Genomic DNA, 24,561 nt, shown 5'->3' with positions numbered 1-24,561 from the left:
CTTCTGCAAGATGAAGATCCAGGAAAGCTGGAGGTGTAGTGTAAAGGGCTAATGATGTAAATTCCAGTCCAGGTCTGAAGACCTGAGAACTAAGTATGCCTAGCACAGGAAAAGATCAATGTTCCAGTTCATGTTGTCAAGCAGAGAAAGGGAGAATTCCCCCTTCCCCTATCTTTTTGCTCTATTCAGGAATTCAATGTATTGGATGGTGTCTACCCACATAAGTGAGTACGATGTACTGTACTCAGTCTAATTCAAATACTACCTCCTCTGGAAACACCCTCACAGACACACCCAGAAATAACATTTAACTAAATGTCTGTGCATCTTGTGAGCCCATCAGTTTGACACATAAAATTAACTATTACAATCATCAACCAATAAATAATTCTTGAGTATGTAACAGGTGTCAAACACTATATCATATTTGGAAATACAGTTTTGAACAAGCAGAAGGGTAAGTGTCCTGGCCTAATGAAGGTTATATATTATTTGGCTAGAAAATACAATAAACATGACAAATAATAATTATCTTTTGCTATGTTAAAAATAAAAAGACCATTTATGTCTTAAAACAAACAAGAAGCCAGAATATATTTTTCTCTTTTAGGTATCTGTGGAATGTCTAGGCTCTGAAGAGCAGTTCTTACTTGGAATTTCTCTCACTGCTGCATTTTGTTGTTTGCTGAGTCTGAAGTAGACATTTGAAAGCTTAATTAGGCTGGATATCCAAGAGAGTTCATTTATGTGTGTATTAGTCCATTCTTGCATTGCTATAAAGAAATGCCTGAGACTGGGTAATTTATAAAGAAAGGAGGATTAATTGGCTCACAATTCTGCAGGCTGTATAGGAAACATAATGCTGGCATCTGCTTGATTTCCGGGAAGGCCTCAGGAAATTTTCAATTGTGGCAGAAGGGATAGGGGAAGCAGGAATGTCTTACATGGTGGGAGCAGGAGAAAGAGAGAGAGGAGAGAAGTGCTACACACTTAAAAACAACCAGGTATCATGATAACTCACTCACTATCATGAGTATAGCACTGAGGGTATGTCACTAAACCATTCTTGAGAACTCGGCCCCCATGATTCAATCACCTCCCACCAGGCCCCACCTCCAACACTGAGGACTACAATTCAACATAAAATTTGGGTGGAGTCACAGATTCAAAACCTATCAGTGTCTGGCAGTAAATGTTGGATGTCATTTGAGAGCTCAGCTGAACCTTGGATTGGTGCAAATATTAAAAGCAATGGCAAGAACGACAGTTACTTTTGCACTAACCTAATATATTTAACCATTCCATGTGACTTGAGCATCACATAGCATGGTGCTTGCATTTTAAAAGGGAGAGTTCCAAGAACAAGAATTCTAAGAGAATTGTGTGGAGGCTACAAGACATCTTATGACATAGTCATAGAATTCTCAGAATATGGCTTCTCCTGCATTCTATAGTTCAAGCAGTCACTTGAATGCCAGTTTAGATTCAAGAGGAGAACAATTAGACTCCACCAATGTCAGACTGCTAAAATGTAAAAGTGAGATTGTGCCATCTTTGGAAAATACGATTGGTCACAGATTGTATATTAGAAGTTGATAAGCATAAATGGGTGGTGGGAGGATAAATTAGGAATGATGAAAAGAAAGAATCTCAGGAGATGTAATTTTAAATAGGGAGGTCAGGGTAGAGCTCATTGAAAATGCAAAATATTAGTGACAATCTTGTAGTAAAGTACTGCTCAGCACATAATTTGCATGTCCTTCAACATTGCCTCAACACCTTGCCACAAAATAAATTGAAGTCACATTTTCACTTTCAATCTTTGGCAGCTGTATATAGATATTAGTTCATCACTAAAACACCACACATTAGTATCTTGAAATCAATGTGGCTATAGTGAAGTAAGTGAAAAGAGTAAAATAACACAATGATGTCAGAGTCGTAACTGATGTTCTATTCAGTTAGAGTCCTTTAGGCATTACATGACTTTAGCTTTTTTTTTCTTTGAGTTAACTGTGTTTTGAACACAACCGACATCATATTCTAACTTGCCTTATGTTTAAATTGGAATATAGCTGCTCTTGACAATGATCAATGATCAAAAGTGGACAGGATATAACTAGGAAAACCAGTTAAGAAGCGATTGGAATAAAACAGTAGATAAGAGTGGCATGTACGAAGGTGCTATAAAGAGAAGCGATGAGAGGTAGTAATATTATGAACGTATTTTGACAGAATGGCCATCAGGATTTTCTAGGGCAGCATAATTATTCTGCGAGTAGGTAAAGGAGTTTTGATTGAGATGAAGAGGTCATAGAAGTGAGAAGCACTGAAAGACACAGAGTAAGTAGATATAAATCTCTAGAGATAGAGGTGATACCTAAATCTGTCTGCTTAGTATCATTTTTAACTTTATATTAATGGTGATACAATATTATATATGTGATACTATGTCTAATTTTACCAAAATTTCTTATCTAACTAAAAATATTGTGGAATTGGCTGTTTTTCAAAAGTGATGAAAATCTCTGCATTAGTTTCTCACATTTTCCTACAATTTCACACTATATAACCTCTTCGAGGATATGATTACATTGAAAGTGCAGTCCCATAGGAAATGAGTTTTAAGTTCTGATTAACTTTCCCGACAGATTTTTTTTGATGCAATTAACAATGACTTCACTAACCCACTCCTTCTTTATTACACATAAGTTCAATTATTTTAAAAACTCAGAGGAATCAAAACATACATACTACTTAATTGCCAGTAAATTTGGCCAACAATTAGAATGAAATGTAAGGTGCTTAACATGTCAGCTGTGTATACACTCTGAAAACACTAATATATTCCTAAAGAAAAATTAAAAAGTTGGAAGAGGCATTCATAAAAGAGAAGCATTTCCAGGTGGCTGTAGATTTGTTTGGTTAGGTGGCTTGTAGTTATATAGCTGTTTGTTTAACAGTTCATTATCACCGTCAAGAGGAGTCAGAGGATGCAATGTAAGAAATGTAGTTAGAGAAGATAATATGACAAATTTCTTTTCTGTTCCATCCACTATTTATGCCATAATAAACTATAAATATGCTGGGTTTTGGTGCATTTGATTACCATTATACTTCATTATCTTCATTTACCTTTAAATGGACATTTAATTCATTTCTACGTTGAGATATTATAATCAACATATTAATACATAAGTATATTTTTATGGATATAGACTATGATTTCTATGAAATGCTGGCTGAACCAAGTTGTATGTCACTGTAGATTTTGGATACTGAGCAATTTTCCTCCAAAAAAAATAAAGTAACTATCAATAGCAGTTTTTCTAGCAATGTAGGAAAATTAACCTCTTTTTATAGCACAGCCAACTTAAATATTGCAACTTTTCAGATTTCTATCTTATTTTAAATTATGTTTATTTTTAAATTTTAACCTAGTTGGCTTGAGAATTTATTCACAAATATATTGATTATTTGAAACTTTGATTGAAGGTTTTAACTTTTTAACCATTTTTATTTAGATTTATTTTCAATTACATTTTAATAGCTATTGATATTAATATATGTACTAGAATATTTGAGGATGAATTTTATCTTAAAAAAAGGAAGAAGGCCAGTGTGACAGGAACAAATAGAGAGAGAGAGAGAGAGAGAGAGAGAGAGAGAGACATTAAGCTGAAAGACAGAGGTCATTTAAAGTGGTGCCCTTATTTGCCACAAGATAAAAGTGAGGCTATTGAAAGAAATTAAGCATAGAAGAAAAATAATCAGATTTGCATTTTGCAAAGATTTTTCTGGGTTACTCTCTAAATAATAGATTAGAGGAGTTGGTCTTGTGTATGCACAGTTAATCATCTATTGCAGTAGTCTGGGAGATAGAAGTTGGTAGCTTAAACTAGCTTATGGAGGTGGTAATAAAGATAATTAAATGGATTTTAGGGATGCTTACAAAGCAGATTACCATGTTATGCTGTTCTATTGTAAAATAAATGTGAGAAGTAGAGGTGTTTCTCCATTTTTAACTTGTGGACCTGGATGCATGATAGTGACTTTTCAAATGTAGTAACTCAGAAAAAACTAGTGTGACCGTAACTGAGACTTGGAAAAAGATAAATGTTATTAAATTTTAAAAATTTATTAAAAATTTCCTCTTATTCACCCTTTAAATTTATGTCCTATGTGTTATTTCAGGTGGGGTCACTCTCTCAGTTTTTTTTTAAGGGTTAGTACTTCATCGTAATCCTCAGGGGATACTTTCCAATACCCCCAATGGATGCCGGAAACCACAGATAGCAGCAAACCCTATGTATGCTATGTGTTTTCCTATACAAACATATCTATGATAAAGTTTAACTTATAATTAGGTGCAGTAAGAAATTAAAAACAATAATATTAAATAATAAAATAAAATTATAAAAATATACTGTAACAAAAGTTATGTGAATGTAGTCTCTTTCTCTCTGCTCTCAAAATATCTTATTGTACTGTACTGCAATTAACTGAAATCATGGGAAGCCAAATTGCAGATTAGGGGGTAATTCTGTAGTCTTTGCATTTAAATTTTATAAATTTTCTTTATTAATGTTATCTGCCATTTTACTTAGGTTTATGATTTTGTAACTGGCTATATTCATCATTACATAATGCAAGGATTCTAATTTTGAAGTGACAAAGTTTCATCTTATCCAAATATACTCCCATTTTGAATTAGGTTAATAAATGTGGAAATTCAGAGTTTCTTCTAACTAATACTTAATCTTATTCCTTCTTAGTACCCACCTTCTTTTGAAAATGTTTCTTATAGAGAATCAGTTAGTGTCCTGGGAAATTGCTATTGATTAATAATTTGTGCTGTTAGGTGGCAAACAAAGCGATGGACCTGACAGCCAAAAATATACAGTCATTATACCTGAGAGAAAGGGAAGTTCTCTCCATAGTAACAAAACTCTGGAAGTCTTTGCTTCCAAGCTTTCACAAAACATAGATCTTTGAATACAGCTGTAAAACAAATGGTTTACATATACAAACTGCCTCAATTTTAGGTACCTTAAAATAAAAACTTATACTACTTAGACTAAACTTTGTGCTACTCTGTTCAGATTTATCTTTGATTTCTCTGTAACAAAAATCTTTATGTAGCAATTGACCCCAGTTGGCTAATGCCACCACATAATTCCATATTATTTAAAACGCCATTGGGCTATCTGGGCCGAAAGTATAAAATTGTGTGTTTGACAAGTATTAGGATTATAATATAAAAATTTATTGATCAATAACTTGCTTTTGGGCTAGGCTATTTTATATTAGTATGCTTATGTCTATCTTCAAGGCAGTCTATGATAACATCTACAATCAATTTTGGCTCAATTTTATATCATTATTGATTTTTTTCTGGGGAAAAAATACTTAGATAATTTAGTGCAGGAAGAAGGAAAAAGAAAAGGAAAAGAAGAAAAACTTGAACAGGATTTGAGTTTATACATTTTAACTACTGAAGTGTAATTTTGGACTCTTCTGCTCTCAAATCTGTTTATTTCATGTTTTACAATAATCCTGAAAGATAAAGAATCTTACACATTATCCTCCAGAAATATGAAGCACAACTAAAATTCTAAAATTTTGTCAACCAAAATTAGCTACAGCTGATTTTTTAGCATCTATATTGAGATTGTATTGACATACAAAAATCTGTAAAGACTTATTGTATACCGTTTGATGTGTTTGGAGATATGTCTACACCCATGAAATCATCATCATAAGCAATGCCAGAAATTTATCCATCACCTCAAAAGTTTCCTTCTGCCCGCTTTGGTTTTATGTTCTTGTTTTGTTTCTTTCTTTTATGTAAGATCTCTTAACATAAGATCTATGCTCTTAGCAAATTTTTGTTTATACAATGCAATATTTTTGGTCGTAGGCCCTATGTTGTACAGTAGCTTTCCAGAACTTATTTATCTTGCATGCCTGAATGTTTACACCCTTTTACCAACACCTCCTCATTACATCCTCCTCCCAGGACCTGGCAACAAAGTTCTACTTTCTGTTTTATGAGTTTGACTGTTTTAAATTCCACACAATATTTGTCTTTCTGTGTCTAACTTATTCCATTTAGCAAAATATTCTCCAAGCCCATTCATATTGTTACAAACGTCAGGATTTTCTTCTTTTTAAATACTGAATAATACACTATTGTGTATGTATACCACATTTCCTTTAACTATTCCTTTGTGATGGGCATTTAGGTTGTTTCCATATCTTGGCTATTGTGAATAATTACATCTAATGTTTAGGTGAATATTTTCTATAGTCAATCAAATGAGCATATTTTACTTGCACTAAATATTGTAATCAATGTTGTATAACTTGTATTTTAAATCTTCATATTTATATTTTCATATAAATAATTTCCTCAATTCATTAACAGTATTGACAGTATGGTCATTTCATATAAATAAATGGGCTTAAGACTACTTTGGTTTCTGAAATCCTGTATTAGTTAACATACTGTAATTATAAACTGTTAATATGGTCAGTAGGCACTGCCATATTTGGATACATATATAGCCTCAAATAATTAGACATTAATTAGCAAAATTCTAAACAGAATTTTTAAAATAAATTTCTGAAACATAAATAAGTTATGTTCATTAATCTGTGTTCCTGAGAATTAAAATAAAATATAAGTAGTATAAGATTATTTATTAAAATTTTATCTTCTTTCTCTAACAGTCTCTTTCTCTCTCTTTCACTGTCAGCTAAAAACTAATGTTTCGAAACAGTTGCAAATTTGTTTCTAATTGCTCAAGACAGGCCTAGATTCATTATACTTTGGGACTCAATTGTGCAGGCAAATGGACATTATCTGTTTCATAAAACTTCCCTTTCAATGAATTATGAGTTATGTGTACAGTTTACTCGATAAAGATTTTAGCAAGAAGTAAGTGTGTTACTAGATGATATGCTGTTTAGTCAGTAAAGGAAAGAAAAATAACTTTCCGATTTGAATAGTACGTGCCTTGTTGTTCATATGAGATTATTACACCTACTTTTCAGTATGATTTCAGGGTATATTTTATTCCAAGATACTGTATTTTATTCAATCAGTTTTATTACTGAGAAAATAATGAAAAATCTAAGTAAACTATAAGCTGGAGAATGTTGTATCATTTTCCACTAGAGAGAACAAAAGTCCCCATTCATATGTACTTTGCATTCATAAAAAAGATAAAATAAGAAAACATGGATTTTTATCGTCTTTAGGATTTTTATTATTTTTATACCTATGGTTTGTAAAATTCTGTTTTAAATTTCACAGTAACTAAAAATGAAAACAAACATCAGGAAATGAAGTGTTCAAATAAAAATTATGCTTTAATCTCACCATTAGTGAAAATATGATTTAATCATACATTTGACATGAATGATTCTATTTGGTTAAAACCAAACTTCTGAATAAAACACGATCCATATCTTATGTGTCCTGTCCACACGAGGTTTATATTTATTGCCATTGTTAATATTTATAAGTTAAGGTCAATTAATTGTTACTGATCTTAATTTTATTTTAATAGTCTTTTTAAAAATATTTTGAAAATATATACACTTTCCTGTCTTTCCTAAGACAATTATACTTTTGGTTATCTGTTGTTTTTAATAAGTAAACATTAAGTTTGTGGAATATTGATTCTAAAATTTTTATCAGTTCCAGACTCAAAATCTAAATAGTAAATATACTTTTGTTGAGAATGTGCAGCCATGGATGGGTTTTGACTGCATTAGCTTACAAGTTCAATCTTCAGCTCTGATAAAGGCATGATGTCAACATCCAAATTACCTTGACCTTCTAGCTGCTAGGATACTACTAGTTCCACTTTCCTGCAAGCAATCACATTAAAAAAGCTAACTGGCTCATGTTAGTGTCCCTAACAATTAAGTTAGATTGCCACATGAAATTTTAATTGATTCAGATGTGGCACCTAATCAAGAAACTAATGAAAATGCTAAGATGCCCTGTGTCAGCAGCTTTTGTTGTTAGGTTTGCTAAAATACTCTGTTCTTCAGTTAAATACATTATAATAATAATGTCAGTACAACAAAGGCATGTGGAAATACCTATTGAAGACAGTATATACAGTACTTCCACAGTAATATATAAATCCAGTTTGAGTTTATAATGTAACTGTCTATAAAATATACCCTGAAATCCTTTCAAAGTTTAAAGTAAGTTAAAACAAAAGCCTTTGTGCCATTGTTGAAACATACTTCAAAATGGAATTTTAAACTCTTGACAAGGTCATTCAATTAAAGGAAACCAAATGCATTTTGCACAACCAGTAAATACACAGTAATAATAAATATTTAGATACTAATTTTTGGAATTAACATATATAAGTAGGTATTTCTATTTTTAAAATACGTATACAAATAAGAGCTTCTTAAATTATTTTTTTTAATGTTTTGGGAATTCACTCTATCGAATGTTTTGGGAATTCACTCAGCCTAGAAATACTATGAAATTTAACAGTACTAAGCACTAAATGTAGAACATTAAATATATCATGCCTTACTAATAAGGCCCCTAGTGATGCTGAACTGTGTCTATGACACTAAAGTTGAGTTTACTGTATTCTATCATTACCGAAGATGTTTAAATGATCCCTTGGATATAAAGTGTAACATTTCGAGGGGAGAGAAAATAAATCCTAACAAATACATTATGCCAGTTTGAATGGGATGACATTGTCAAAAAGCAGAGGGTTTTATTCATTTGCTTGTTTTACTGAGATAACCATGTGTGTTAGTATGGCATTACAAAATACCAGAAAATAATTTAACAACATAAATTGAAATATGATTAAGAATAGCCATAGAAGGACCCAATGAGAACTGGCCAAATGCTGCTCATTTTTGAAATGTATTTTTTGTTAGCAAACAGTCAAAGATAAATTGCCTACCTTCATTTGTAGTAATTATTAAGAATATAGTGAATTGGAATATCAAGACAACATCCTCTAGAGATAAAAAATTTAATGAAGAAAGTGCTCATTAGAATAAGTTGCTAATATGCTCAATGTATTAATAAAAGGTGAAAAATACACAAAATTACATTGGATTTCTCAAATATCTAAGACATATACCTCTAGTCTATTTACAATCAAAAAAGTAAAACATTTACACTACAAAATGAAGTGTAATAAAAAACCTACGTGTAGTTAGGCTTTGAATTCTGAAATCAACATTAAGAAAAATACATTTTTCACTGTTGAAAAAAAACTTTCTACCTTTTATCTAATATGTTGCAATTAAGTAATACTAGCAATAATACTTGTTTAAAAACAGATGTCAGAATAGGAACACAAAACCTAGAAGAGACTTATGTCTTCTTCTAAAAGTTATCCACCTTTCTGGGCTTGAGTAATTAAATAAGTTTAACTTTTAGATGGTAAGTAGTTATAGAAATCATATGTGGTAAATGGAATAATGGTTTCCCAAATATATCCATGTCCTAATCCCTGGAGCCTGTGAGTGTATTACCTCATATGTTAAAAATAACTGGTTGAAGTATAGGCTGAATTATATTAGGCAGAATTATATTCCTCCTAAATTTATATGTTGCCTCCCTACACCCAGTACTTCAGAATGTGATTGTATTTAGAAATTGGGCCTTTAGAGATGTTATTAAGTTAGAATGTGGCTGTCAGAATTGGGCCGAATCCAATCTGTTTTCCTTATAAAAAGAGGAAATTTGACAGGCGAGGGGACAGCAGAGATGCATGCATGTAGGAATGACCATGCGAGGCTGGAAAAAGAAGATGCCACCTGCAAGCCAAGAAGAGAGGCCTCAGGAAAATTCAAATTTGCCAACACCTTGCTCTTTGTCTTTTTGCATCCAGAACTGTAAGAAAATAAATTTTTGTTGTTTAAGCCACGTATTCTGTGGTAGTTTGTTATGGCAGCCCTAGCAAACTGATATGGGAACTTTGTAGTTAGATTAAATTAAAGATGCTGATACAGGAAGATTATGCTGGACTGTCTGAGTGGGCCTAATGGAATCATGGGAGTTCTTTTAAGAGGAAAGGAGGAGATTCAGGGAGGAGGGTGAGAATCAGAAAGATAAAGGAAACAGAGATTTGATGCACAAAGTAATGCATTTAAAATGCAGGAAAGGCCCATGGGCAATGGGATGCAGGTGTTCTGTAAAAGCCGAAAATATCCATGATGGATTCGCCCATAATATCTCTAGGAGGAACACAACTCTCTTGACGCCTTGATTTTAACCTGTAATTTATACTTCATACTTTTGACCTTCAGAACTGTAAGATGATACATTTGTGTTGTTTTAAGCCACAAATTTTGTGGTAATTTGTTACAGTAGCAATAGGAAGCTAATACACCATAGTAAGTTAGTCTCCAAAATTCAGGAGAAAAATATTTCAACAAAATACTAATGAAAATAATTACTTTTAGATTAGAGAATAAATTTATTTAATTGAACTAATACAAATTCAGGCACTATTTATAGTGTTCTATATTTTTTCATAAGGAGCGCATCAGATAGTATACTGTACTCAGTATTCATGAGCAGTTACATCACATTATTCATGAGTTTACGGAGCTTACTAGACATTACCTGAATGTAGTACCAATAAATTTTGTCAGCATTTTAACATTTTTATAACATCATGTTGAAATCAAGAGAGATATAAAAAAGTTCCAAAAAAGGTCATGGTAATCATTTCTAGAAAAAAGACAGTAAGAATTTGTAACTCATATATTGTACATCTTGCTTTTAAAAATTTTCCAGCTTAGAAAGAATATTGAATATTGAGGAAATTTGAGCCATCTTACAAGTTTTTTTTCTGACGCTTGAAAAGAATATTTAATTAATTTCCTAGATCCTGTGTCTGGTATGTAGTAGGCTTTCAAATAATAAGTAGTTTAGCTGACTAACATTTTTGATGGTAATATTAAAATTGAATATAATCTAATTTAACTTACTGAAATTCAATATTTACTAAGAAATGTCATCATAGTATTAGGTATATTTGCTGGGAAGAAAATAAAATAAAAAGTCCCTGCATATGCTATGTTCCTTGATCATTAAGTATTTCATTTTAAAATAATAAACATTGTTAAGTTACAATTCAATTCAATAGGTGTCTAGTGAGTATTTGCCACAGTCCAGGGCCTGGGTAAATAGTGGGAGGCAGCAATAATCAAAACAATCAATAGGTTAACAGAAGTAGAGATAAACAATGAAAATACCAGTTACAAAAATACAGTCACAATATTATTTTTATGGTATATATACGTTCAAGCAGAGAAAGGAGACACCTTCCATTGTAGGCTCAAGAAAGACAATACAATTTTATTAAAAGAACATCTAATTTGTGCTGTGTCTTAATGGCTGAATAGAATAGAAAAGAGAAACAGAGAGCTTCCCATGATCAATACTAGAAAATATGAGAATCTGACTAAAGATATTTTAGTATTAGTGCACTGTTTATAAAGATAGAAATATATGCTGGGAAAATTAATGTAAAGCTGCAAAGAAAATATTTTGTAATTAGAATTTTATTCTGAATGAAACATAGGTAACGTACAATTTATGGTAAAAAAAGAGGTCTCAAAAATGTCTAAGGCAAAGTTTATACCCTCCTTATATAGCTCTCTTTGGACTGTGAGCCCATGCTACAGTTGTCTTTGTCTGTTGGGATTCAGTTATCATGTTTTCAATTTTCTTACTTAACTAAGAATTATTTTATGGATTATTGCATGATCTATCTTGGTGAATATACCATGTATGTTTGAAAATAGTGCATTTTGTGCAGTGTGTGTAGTATTCTATAAATACAAATTAGATTTAGAAGATGAATAATTCTCAGATATACAGTTTTGTTAAATTTGTAAACAATGTTCTCTCAATTGCTGAATGATGAGTACTAATATTGATAATAATACAGATTTGTGTGATAATCTAAGTCATATTCATTTCATGAGGCTAATATAACCATGACACTAAGTACTAACAAATATGTAATAAAACAGAAATTAGGGGCCAAAAATTATTTTTCAGAAGTCCAAATGACAAAATAATTCTAATAAGATGTTAGAATAGGTAGATAACATGTGGCTTAAGCAAAAACTAAAAAGATTGAAATTAACTACTCTTAGAGCATATATATACTTGGTCAATTATACTTCCTCTTTGCAAGTATCTAAGTCTTGTTCTTATTAATTGTTTGAAGATTCTAAGCTATAATTTGTATAAAAGTACCTTGTCATATGTATTGTGAGTATATCTTTTTAATTTTGAATTGTATTTTTACTGTTTTAATGCTTTCGTTTGATAAACAATCAATTGTTGCACAGCTTATGCTTCTCATTTTCACCTGTTTTGTTTACAGAATCTTTGCCTAATCCAGTGTTAGTAATATGTTCTCCTGTGTTATTCTTCAAAGCTTTATTGTTTTATTATTAATGTTCAACTATGAAATTCGATGGGAATTTATTTTTGCACAGGTGAAAAATCTGCAAGATTGTACCGTGAGGAATTACTAAAAATTAAGTGCTTTGGGTCTATTTAAACAATTTCATTTATTTACTTTTCTTTGTACAATTTTTTAAAGTTTTGGTATAAAAACTTGGTGTCATTAAAGTAGTTAGAACATGACACATTTTACTCTGTAGGAGATAGACCTAACATAAATGACGAATTAATGGGTGCAGCACACCAACGTGGCACATGTATACATATGTAACAAACCTGCATGTTGTGCACATGTACCCTAGAACTTAAAGTATAATAATAATAAGAAAAAGTTGACAAAATAAATAAATAAATGAATAAAATAAAATAAAAAGGCACATGATATGTATTCCCCGAAAGTTGCAAGATGTTCTCGTGAGCCTCTTTACAACTGGCAAATTTGGAGATTTGTGGTAATTTTTCAGTGGTTCAAAGATGATTTAACTTATGATAAGATTTCTTCTATGATATGAAATATATATGATGGGAATTAAACAATATGTTGCTGTAACTTCTTCATTCTTAAAAGTATTTTTAAATCCTGACATATAGGGTTATTACATTTCACGCTCAGAAGTACTCTATCGTTCCACTTCCAGCAAGTCTATTCTTAAAGGTGTATCCCTGAAATTCCCTCATATTTATTTACAAGAAAACATACATGATAATTTTCATAAATTTATTTATAACATTAAAAACCTGGGAATAATTAAAGAGAATAAAATGATAAAATTTGATATGTCCACACAAGGTGAAACAATTTAATCTATCCAAATCTTAACTAAATTATATTTAGTTAAAAAAAGTATTAATGTATTTTTGGTGAATATGGGTAAGCCATAGAAAAGGAACACAGAATTTAGGGGAGGGCTTCCCTGAGGAATAGGATGAAGCAATACTCAGGAAGTTCACAGAGTGGAGTTGGGAATATTATCTCATGTTGGTCATTAGATTCATCTGTGTTCTTTTTTTATTTTGCTTGCCTGGCATGTCATAAATATTTGTTGGATATATCAAATATAATACAGAGCCTACAGTTTTAAAATAACAATTCTAAGATTGTAGGTAGTGTAATTTATCTATTTTCCAATTAATAGATATTCAGATTGTTTTTATTGCTTTGCACCAAGGTGATTCTGAGCAATAATTTGATACTTTTAAAGCCTTGTGTATATAAATCTTTGTGCCCATATATTCACAATTAGAGCAAAAAATGTTAATTTGAATTTTTGCTTAAAAACATTAAAATGCCTTACTAAGTGACATTGCATATTTTTTAGTATTATCAGCATTGTATGAAAGTGACCATTTATGTGTATGTGCTCTAACAGTAGTTAATTTCAGTCTGTTTAATTTTTGCTAAAGCCACATGTTATCTACTTATTTTAACATCTTATTAGAATTATTTTGTTATTTGGACTTCTGAAAAATAATTTTTGGCCCCTAATTTCTGTTTTTATTACGTATTTGTTAGTACTTAGTGTCATGGTTATATTAGCCTCATGAAATGAATATGTAATAATTTTGCAGATTTTCTATACTCAGAAACTTTTTAAAAAACACATTTACCTGTTTATTATATATGTATATATGCATATATTAAAATGTGTGGAAAACTATTTAATATAATTTACTCTTTTTCTTTTTAGAAACACCAATTCTACATTTATGGAATTGTCTATGGTTCATATCTAATATTTTCTTCAGGACTGTTTTTTACTAGATTCTACTTTTGTCTGTTCTGTGGATATATTTCCCATAATTGGAGTTTGTTAATTTATCTGCTCATTTATTTATGTATTTTAGAGCTCTACCAGTTTACTTTTCGGATGTTGTGTCTTCTTGAAATCTACTCTTCTTTTCTAGGATCTGTGTTTCCATTTATGGAGAAGTATTTGTGAAACGTTATTTCTACACCTCTTAGCTTTAATTTTATTACCATTTAAAAGAAAGGAAATAATTCAGAAGCTCAGAATTCAGAAGGTTTTATGAAAAAGTATTCTAAGTTATTGAAAATAATTGGAGAAAACACAATAATAGTTTTCTTTTTTTTGGTCTTAAAATATTTTGTGCTTACCATGGCTGACTTTGATCAGCAGCTGCAGGTGATGGCTGTGATTATTCTGAACTTCCTCTTACATCTCCAAGGACTTTTTAAAGTTTAAAGTATGAATTATAGAATTTAAATATATAATATCTAAGTAGTTTAATTTTAATCTTAGCCTGTTACATTCATATTTTAGTGTGGTAATGTGGAAATAGTACTACAGGGATAGTACTACAGTATTCCACTTCCTGTGGCCCTTTCAGTTCCTTCTAAAACATATCATTTTATATAGAATTAAATAATTTATTGAGACTTTTAGAAATGTTCATTTACATTTCAAGACATTGTCAGTCTTTTATAAGTCACTGTTGTTCATTCTCCCTGATTTAAAAACAAATAATAGATATTCTTCATTATTGTCACCATTTTTTGTGGTGATTTTAACCTTTCATGGATCGTATCATTATTTCATCTCCTTCACACTACTTTTGTTGTTTTCTGTATGTTATAGAATCAAGAAGCGTAAAACATGCCCTTATTCTGCAATCTTTAACTGCGGTTGTTAGCCCATAGATTTTGAACTTCATCTCTATTGTTGTTATTATCCTGACAGTCTTTTGAGCGTCATAACCTCATGAGTTATACTTTTCTATTCTGTTTAGCATTCTCAAAATGTCAGTTTTCCCCCAATTTTATTACCAATATGTACGTATGCTTGTACTGTAACCACAAAACAAGTTCTTGTGATTCCAGTTTTCACAATTCAAATTTTACTCTTAGTTCAATACAACTTCCTTGATAATTATATGTAAGCAAAATCGAGTCTCTACTAGTAAGAAGAAAGGTCTTTTTAAACAATTTAGTTTCTTTTTACAGATTCAGGGTGTATACACGAAGGTTTGTTACATGAATATGTTGCATAATGGTGACGTCTGAGCTTTTAGTATATCCATTATCCAAATAGTTAACATCATACTCAATAGATAATTTTTCAGTCCTCACCCCCATCAAAACTTCCCCCTTTTTGGAGTCCCCAGTAACTCAGAAACAAAAAAATCAAAAACTACATGCTCTCACTTATAAGTGGTAGCTAAACAATGGGTACACATGGACATACAGAGGAGGAAGGTCATAAATGGATTTTTGATAACCTAGAGAGAATGTCTACAATGCCTGTATAAGAAATATATATACAACAAGTATGCCCACTGTCATCACTGTTATTCAAGATAATGCTGGAATCCCTAGCTAGAGCAATCATACAAGAGAAAGAAATACAGGCATCCAAATTGCAAAGGAAGCAGTCAAATTATCCTTGTTTGCAGATGATTGGATCTTATATTTGAAAAAAAACTAAAGAGTCCATCAGAAAAAGAAAAAAAATTAGAACTGATAAATTTAGTAAAGTTGCAGAATACATAATCAACATTTCAGTGGCCTATAAGGTTTCCACTGGAAAGTCTGCTGCCAGACATATTGGAACTCCATAGTAAGTTATTTGTTCCTTTTCTCTTGCTGCATTTACGATCCTTTCTTTATCCTTGACCTTTTGGAATTTGATTATTAAATGCCTTGAGGTACTCTTTCTTAGGTTACATGCGCTTGGTGTTCCATAAGATTCTTGTGCTTGGATATTGATATCTTTCTCTAGGTTTGGAAAGTACTCTGTTATTGAATAAACTTCCTACCACTATCTCTCTTTCTACCTCCTTTTTAAGGCCAATTACTCTTACATTTGTCCTTTTGAGGATATTTTCTAGATCCTGTAGGCATGCTTCATTTTTTTTATTATTTTTTCTTTTATCTCCTATGATTGCATATTTTCAAATAGCCTGTCTTCCAGCTCACTAAATCAATACTGCTACTAAAACACTCTGATCACCTCAGTATGTCAATTGCATTTTTCAGCTCCAGAGTTTCTGTTTGATTCTTTTTAATTATTTCAATCTCTTTGTTAAATTTATCTGAAAGAATTCTGAATTTCTTCCTTATGCTATCTTGAATTTCTTTGTGTTTCGCAAAAAAAATTTTGAGTTCTCTGTCTTAAGGGTAAAATATCTCTGTTTCTGTAGGATCGGTCCCTGACACCTTTTTTATTTCCTTTGGGTGAGGTCAGGTTTTCCCAGATGGTATTGAAGTTTGTAGATGTTCATCTGTGTCCAGGCATTGAAGAGTTATGTCTTTATTGCAGTCATTGTAGTCTGGGCTTATTTTTACGCGTTTTTCATAGGAAGGCTTTCCATGTTTTTAAAAGGACTTGGGCATTGTGATCTGAGCCATATCTGCTTAGGGGGCACCTCAAGACCAATAATGTCATGTTCTTGTAGTCTTGTAGAGGTACCACCTTGGTGGTCATGGATAAGGTCCAGAAGAACCTCAGGATCACAAGACAGAGACTCTTGTTCTCTTCCCTTACTTTTTCCCAAACAAATTGACTCTCTCTCTCTCTCTCTCTCTCTCTCTCTCTCTCTCTCTCTCTGTCTCCTTTGTTCTGAGTAGACTGAAGCTAGGGGTGGGGTGACACAAGAACACCTGTGGCCACCACCACTGGGACTGTACTGGCTAAGACCTGAAGCCAGTGCAGCACTGGATCTTGCCAAAAGCCCACTGTAACTACTAACTGGCTACCATCTATGTTTGCTCAACGTCCTAGGGCTGTACAATCAGAACGTGGAGAAGCCACATAGACTTGTATTTTTGTCTTCCCAAAGTACTCTGCATTGCCCTAGGCCCAGGTGAATCCAGTGATGCCATCCAGGAGCCAAGGACTAGAGCCAAAAACCTTAAAAATTACTTGGTATCCTATTGTGCTGCTGCTGAGCTGGCACTCACACTACAAGATGCAGTTATTGCCACTCTTCTCTCTCCTTTCCACAGGCAGAGGAGGCTCACCGCATGTCTACCACCGCACAGGCCCATGGAAAGTATTGACGGGCTTTCGTCAGTGTTCACTTAAGCCCCAAGAGCTCTTCAGTTAGCTTGTGGTAATGTTGCCAGGCCTGAGATTCAGTGTTCAGGGAAGCATGCTCCCTTCTGGCCCACATCTAGGTCTGTAAATGTTATCCAATTGCCGAGGCCTGGAGCTAGTTCCTAAGGTACAAGTTTTTTTGCTGAGCTAGTTCCTAAGGTACAAGAAAAAGACTGCTTTACTTTTCCTTTTGCTTTTCTCAAGCAGATAGAGTCTCTCACCACAGCCACCACAGCTTTGTATGTGCTGTGTCCCACCTGAAGCTAGCAGGTTTCAGAGTTTCACCCAAGGCCCATGACCTAGTACCTGGTTATCTCTGCTGGTTATTCAGGGCCCAAGGACTCTTTAGTAAGCAGGTGATGGGCCCTGCCAGGAATGGGTTCTTCCCTTCTAGGTAACAGGCTCACTTCTGGCCCAGGGTGTGTACAGAAATGTTGTCTGTGAGCTAGGGCCTGGAATGGGGGCCTCATGACTTTGCTTGGTATCCTATTCTATTATGGCTTAGCTGGTATCCAAGATGCAAGAAAAAAGTCATCTTTGCTCTTCCCTGTCCTCTCCTCAAGCAGAAGGAAGGGGTCTCTTTTGGAACTGTGAGCTGTACAGGTTGGGGTTGGGAAAAATGTGGCACTAACACTCCCTTAGCCGCTGTTGCTGGTATCTCAGCATGTTGTCTGCCCCCTACCACAGTCCATTGGCTCTAAACCCAGCTCAGCACTATGACTTACCTAGGAGTTGCAGTCCTTGTGGCCTAGACTGTCTTTCAAGTTTGCACAGGGACTCATGTGGTGAGGCTTGCTGGAACTCAAGTTCCAACAACTAAGGTGGACAACTCCCCTCTGTGTGGCTAGGGCTGTTTTAAATGCTCCTTCTGTGGGTGGGCATCAGCTAAATATAGCCTGGTTTTGCTATAACAAGGCGGCACTGAATTTACTGCAAAGTCTCACCATCACTGTATTCTGCCTCCTGAAGCATACAGACTCTCTTTCCACGCGGCCACTGCCAGGGGATGAGGAAGAGATGGTGTCAACAATTCAAGACTGTCTCTCTTGCTCTCTTCAGTGTATCTTTCAGTAACATGAAGTTATAATCAGGTACTGTGAGTGACTACTCACCTAATTTTTGGTACTTATGAAGTTTCCTTTTTTTGTGTAGATAGATGTCAAGTTTGGTCTTCCTGCAGGGAGGACAATTGATAGAGCCTCTTAATTCTGCCATCTTGCTCCAGCCCACCTAAATTTGAAAATTCAGATTTGTGTGTTAAATTGAGATTTTTTATAGCATTTAAAGCTAAAAATTTTGCTCCAAACACAGCTTATTTATATAGCATAAATTTGGCTGTGGTGTGTTCTCATTTGTCTTGTAATTTCTTTAACAAAAGGGTTATTTAGAACTGTGTTATTTTCCAAATATTTTCAGAGATCCCAAATTTCTTTCTATCAGTTTCCAATTTTATTTCATTGTAATCAGAGAAAATACTTTGAATATCTCAATTCTTTTAAGTTGATTCAGACTTTTCAACTTATTGGTCTCTGAACCTAAAGTGCATCTCTTGTAGACAACATATAATTGGAGCCTGTCTTTTTTCTTTTAATCTAGATTGATAATCTTAGCATTTACTCAAAAAAGTTTACATTAAATATAATTATTGATAGGTTATTGATTACAACTACTTGTTATTTACATGCTATGTTTTTCACTATGGCATGCTTTTTTCCTTTCCTTCCTCCATTGCTGCCTTATTTTGTGTTATGTGTTTTTTTTTTTTTTGGTGTATATTTTAAGTTGCTTTTATTAACTATATGTTTTAATCATATTCTAAGTCATTTCTCAGGAATTTTTTTTTTTTTTTGAGACGGAGTTTTGCTCTCGTTGCCCAGGCTGGAGTGCAATGGTGCGATCTTGGCTCACTGCAACCTGCACCTACTGAGTTCAAGCGATTCTCCTGCCTCAGACTCCCAAGTAGCAGAGATTACAGGGTGCCCACCAACACACCCAGCTTTTTTTTTTTGTATTTTTAGTAGAGACAGGGCTTCACCATGTTGGCCAGGCTGGTCTCAAACTCCTGACCTCACTCAGGTGATCCACCCACCTTGGCCTCCCAAAGTGCTGAGATTACAGGCATGAGACACCGTGCTTGGCCATTTCTCAGGATATTAAGCACATCTTAACTTTTTAAAAAGTCTAATTCAGATTAATAATAACAATTACAATAGTACATATAAATGTTTTTCTGATATATGTTTTTCCCCCTCCTTTGTGCTACTTTAGACATGCAGATTTATACCTTGTAAGTCCATTAGACTGTTTTGTAACTAATTGTGTAAAACATCAGTTACAGTTATATCTACCTATGTAATTAACCTTGCCAGTGCTATTTATTCGGCTCTTTCAGCCTGAAGGACTCCCTTTAGAATTTCTTAAAGACCACTTCTGGTGACAGATTTTCTTTATTTTAGTTTATGTGAGAATGTCTTTATTTCTCCTTCATTAAAAAAATTAAAAATAGGCCAGACACGGTGGCTTATGCCTGTAGTTCCAGCACTTTGGGAGGCTGAGATTGGAGGATAACTGGAGGTCAGGAGTTTGAGACCAGTCTGGTCAACATGGTGTAACCACGTCTCTACTAAAAATACAAAATTAACTGGGCATGGTGGTGGGTGCCTGTAGTCCCAGCTACTCGGGAGGCTAAGGCAGGACAATCACCTGAACCTGGGAGGTGGAGATTCCAGCCAGCAGAGATCACACCACTGCGCTCCAGCCTGGGCAGCAAAGTGAGACTCTGTCTAAAAAAAAAAAAAAAAAAAAAAATTAAAAATAGTCCTTTCACACAGAGTTCTTCATACTATTAACATTTTACTGTAGGGTTGTAAATTTTTAACAATTGATGAGCCTATATTGATACAATTTTATTTGCTGAAGTATACTCTTCTGTTTTGAAAAATGGATAATGTTAAATATGCACCATCAAAATATACAGAATAGTTTCATCACCCTAGAACTCCCCTCTGTGCTTCTTTATCCTCTGTGCACCTCTCCCTTTGCCACCAAACCTCTGACAATGACTGATCATTTTACTGTCCCTACAGTGTCTTTTCCAGAGCTTTATATGATTGAAGTAAAATGTAGCCTTTCAAACTGGCTTCTTTCATTTAGCAACATTCATTTAAGTTTCCTCTATGCCTTTTTGTGGCTTCATAGCTACGATTTATTGCTATGTAATATCCCCTTGTGCGGAAGTACTACAGGGATTCTTAAATCCATTTACATATTGGTTGCCTCCAGTTACGGAAACTATAAATAGCTGCTATAAACATTCGTGTGCAGGTTTTGTTTTGACATCAGTGTTAATCTCATTTGAGTAAATACCTAGGAGCATGATTGCCGGATCATAGGATAAAGCTATGTTTAGCTTTTTAAGAAATTGTCAAACTATATTCCAGAGTGGCTGTATCATTTTGCATTCATACCAGCAATGAATGACAGCTCCAGTTCTACGTTCTTGCCAGCAGTTGATATTGTTCCCTTTCATTTTTGAAGGGTAGTTTTGCTAGACATGGAATTCTTGATTTCTTAGCCTTTTTCTTCCACACATTTTAATATGTCATCTCACTGTCTTCTGACTCCAATGATTTCTGATAAGAAGTCAGCCATTTATCTTATTAAGGATCACTTATAAATGATAACATTGTTTTACTATTGCCTCTTATTCTGGGACTTCAACTATCCATACTTAGGTATGTTTCATGATTTCCCACAGGTCTCTGAGATTTTGCTTATTTTTCTTCCTTTTCTGTGGCTCCCCAAAGTGGATAATCTGTATTTACTGGTTCTTACTTCTGCCAGTTAAAATACATTGGTAATCTCCTGGAGTTAATATTATTTACAGTTATTTTAATTTTGCCCTTCAGAATTTCTATTTGGTTTTTAAAAATATTTTCTATCCATTGGTTGATAGGCTCTATTTGGTAAAACAGAGTTTCATACTTTGTTTTAATTATTTTTACATAGTTTTCTTTAGTTTTATGAACACGTTAATCAGAGGTGATTAAAATATTTATCTCTAAATCTATCATCTGATCTCCTTCAGCGACTTTTTTTTTCTGTGTGTGAAGAATAATTTTCAATATTTGCATATTATGTTATCTTTTCTTAAAAAGTGGACTTTTGGATAAATAATAGAATAATTATGGTATCAGATCTCTTTCCCCATAACAGTTTGTTGTTTTAGCTGTGATTGTAATTGTTGTTGTTTTTCTTTTTTCTTTTTTTTTGGTCACTTTCTAAACTAATTCTGTACAGTCCATATTGTCTGCAATCTGCAGCCACTGAGTTCTGTGCTACCAATTTTCTCTTAAGTGTATCTTTTCTTTTAAAACTGGCTTCCTAATGGTGTTTATTAGATCAGTATAATTTAATGTTCAGCCAAATGTCTTTTGGTAAGACATTTTTCTTAAAATCTTTCAGAATGTAAAAGTCCTCCACCTTTAGCCAAGGGATCAATTCTATTGGAATATGTACACTTTTGAAAAACAGGCAGTTAAATCAGCCTCAACTTTCACTTCCTGCTTGTTCAAGGCCTCCAGTTCACCTGGAGGTGAGTAACTGGGGCCTTCCTTTTTCTTAGGTCTTTCCTGTGTGCACACACAGCTGTGTACATACAAGTCAACTTCCAGATCCCCGTGAATTTGTCAGAGCTTTTCAAAGTTCCCCATGGTAACGTGGTTCTCCAGATATTCCTTTTAACTGTTTGGTCAGACTCTTATTTGCCCTAACTGAACCAGCAGACTATTAATGCTTTTAGTAAAACGTGAGGATAGCATTCTCATCCCCCATCCCAGAACTAAACTCCAAATTATTAAACAGTAAGAACACCTTTGAATGGAGATTTTCTAGCTTGATCAAATTTCTAAATGCACTCTTGTGATGGTGTGTCCAGAACTGGTGGGTTGCTGGTCTCACTGACTTCAAGAATGAACCCACAGACCCTCGCAGTGAGTGTTACAGTTCTTAAAGACGGCATGTCTGGAGTTTATTCCTTCTGTTGTTGAGATGTGTTCAGAGTTTCTTCCTTCTGGTGGGTTCCTGGTCTCGCTGGCTTCAGGAGTGAAGCTGCAGACCTTCGCTGTGAGTGTTACAGCTCTTAAGGTGGCGCATCTGAAGTTGTTCTTTCCTCTCGGTGGGTTCGTGGTCTGGCTGGCTTCAGGAGTGAAGCTCAGACCTTCCCGGTGAGTGTTACAGCTCATAAAGGCAGTGTGGACCCAAAGAGTGAGCAGCAGCAAGATTTATTGCAAAGAGCGAAAAAACAAACCTTCCACAGCATAGAAGGGGACCTGACTAGGTTGCCACTGCTGGCTAGGGCAGCCTGCTTTTATTCCCTTATCTGGCCCCTCCCACATCCTGCTGATTGGTCCATTTTACACAGAGCCAATTGGTCTGTTTTACAGAGAGCTGATTTTGACAGGGTGCTGATTGGTGCCTTTACAATCCCTGAGCTAGACAAAAAAGTTCTCCACCTCCTCACTAGATTAGCTAGATACAGAGTGTCCATTGGTGTACTTACAAACCCTGAGCTAGACACAGAGCGCTGATTGGTGCATTTACAAAACTTGAGTTAGATACACAGTGCCAACTGGTGCATTCACAGTCCCTTAGCTAGACATAAAGATTCTCCAAGTCCCCACCAGATTAACTAGATACAGAGTGCAGATTGGTGCATCCACAAACACTGAGCTAGACACAGGGTGCTGATTGGTGTGTTTACAAACCTTGAGCTAGATACAGAGTGCTGATTGGTGTATTTACAATCCCTTAGCGAGACATAAACGTTCTCCAAGTCCCCGCTAGACTCAGGGGCCCAGCTGGCTTCACCTTGTGGATCTGGCACAGGGGCCGCAGGTGGAGCTGCCTGCGAGTCCCACCCAGTGCGCCCGCACTCCTCAGCCCTTGGGCGGTCGATGGGACCGGGCGCGGTGGAGCAGGGGGCGGCACTCGCTGGGGAGGCTCAGGCGCAGGAGCCCAGGGCAGTGCAGGGAGACTCAGGCATGGCGGGCTGCAGGTCCCGAGCTCTGCCCTGCAGGGAGGCAGCTAAGGTCCAGCGAGAAATCAAACGCAGCGCCGGTGGGCCAACACTGCTGGGGAAACCGGCGCACCCTCCGCAGCTGCTGGCCCGGGTGCTAAGCCCCTCACTTCCCCGGGGCCCGCCGCTCCGAGTGCCGGGCCGCCAAGCCCACGCCCACCCAGAACTCCAGCTGGCCCGCAAGCGCTGCGCGCAGCCCCGGTTCCCGCCCGTGCCTCTCCCTCCATACCTCCCAGCAAGCTGAGGGAGCTGGCTCCGGCCTCGGCCAGTCTAGAGAAGGGCTCCCATGGTGCAGCGGCGGGCTGAAGGGCTCCTCAGGCGCGGCCAGAATGGGCGCTGAGGCGGAAGAGACGCAGAGAGCGAGTGAGGGCTGCAACGGCTGCCAGCACAGCACGCTGTCACCTCTCAATGGTACTTATAATGGAGACTCAAAATAGGTAAATACTCATTGTTGGATGTAAGGTTGTTAAGTTTTGATGACTACCATATCAATGAGGTGGGAGGGAGGAGAAATGGGAATAACCCATGTTAAAAACCACTGTCTCTGCTGGTCAGTAGACTTTTTTTTTACTTTCTTGAAGAGATACTTTTCAATTTGTGAAAACCATAGCTACGATTTATTGCTGTGTAATATCCCCTTGTGCGGAAGTACTATAGCTTTTCTTACTACAGGTTTTCATACTCTGTGTGAAAGGACTGTTTTTAAATTTTTTTTTTTTTTGACAGAGTCTCACTTTGTTGCCCAGAGTTCTAAATTGCTGATGTATATTGTATTTTCATTGATCTGGGGGAAAGTGAGTGAAGCCAAATTCTTACTTTTTCCACTCAAAGGCTGTCTCCTCTATGGAGTTTTTCAAATGCCTATTTGGTTAGGGCAATTATAAATTAAGAAAATGGAAAACAAGTTAAAGGTTTTAGATCGCGGACAGAAGAATGCA

General features: G+C 34.9%; 1 long non-coding RNA gene across 1 annotated transcript in view; it reads left to right on the top strand.

Annotated features, from left to right (window-relative positions):
• Nucleotides 1–1,496: 1,496 nt before the first annotated feature.
• Nucleotides 1,497–24,561, top strand: part of LINC00376 (long intergenic non-protein coding RNA 376) — a 144,994-nt gene continuing 121,929 nt past the window's right edge. The window contains exons 1-2 of the long non-coding RNA NR_126409.1: nucleotides 1,497–1,537; nucleotides 2,236–2,343. This is a non-coding gene — a long non-coding RNA (long intergenic non-protein coding RNA 376). The remainder of the gene's footprint in view (nucleotides 1,538–2,235; nucleotides 2,344–24,561) is intronic.

The sequence above is a fragment of the Homo sapiens genome, chromosome 13 (assembly GCF_000001405.40).
Source record: "Homo sapiens chromosome 13, GRCh38.p14 Primary Assembly".
Lineage (NCBI taxonomy): Eukaryota > Metazoa > Chordata > Mammalia > Primates > Hominidae > Homo > Homo sapiens.
This window is presented reverse-complemented; position numbering and strand designations above follow the sequence as displayed.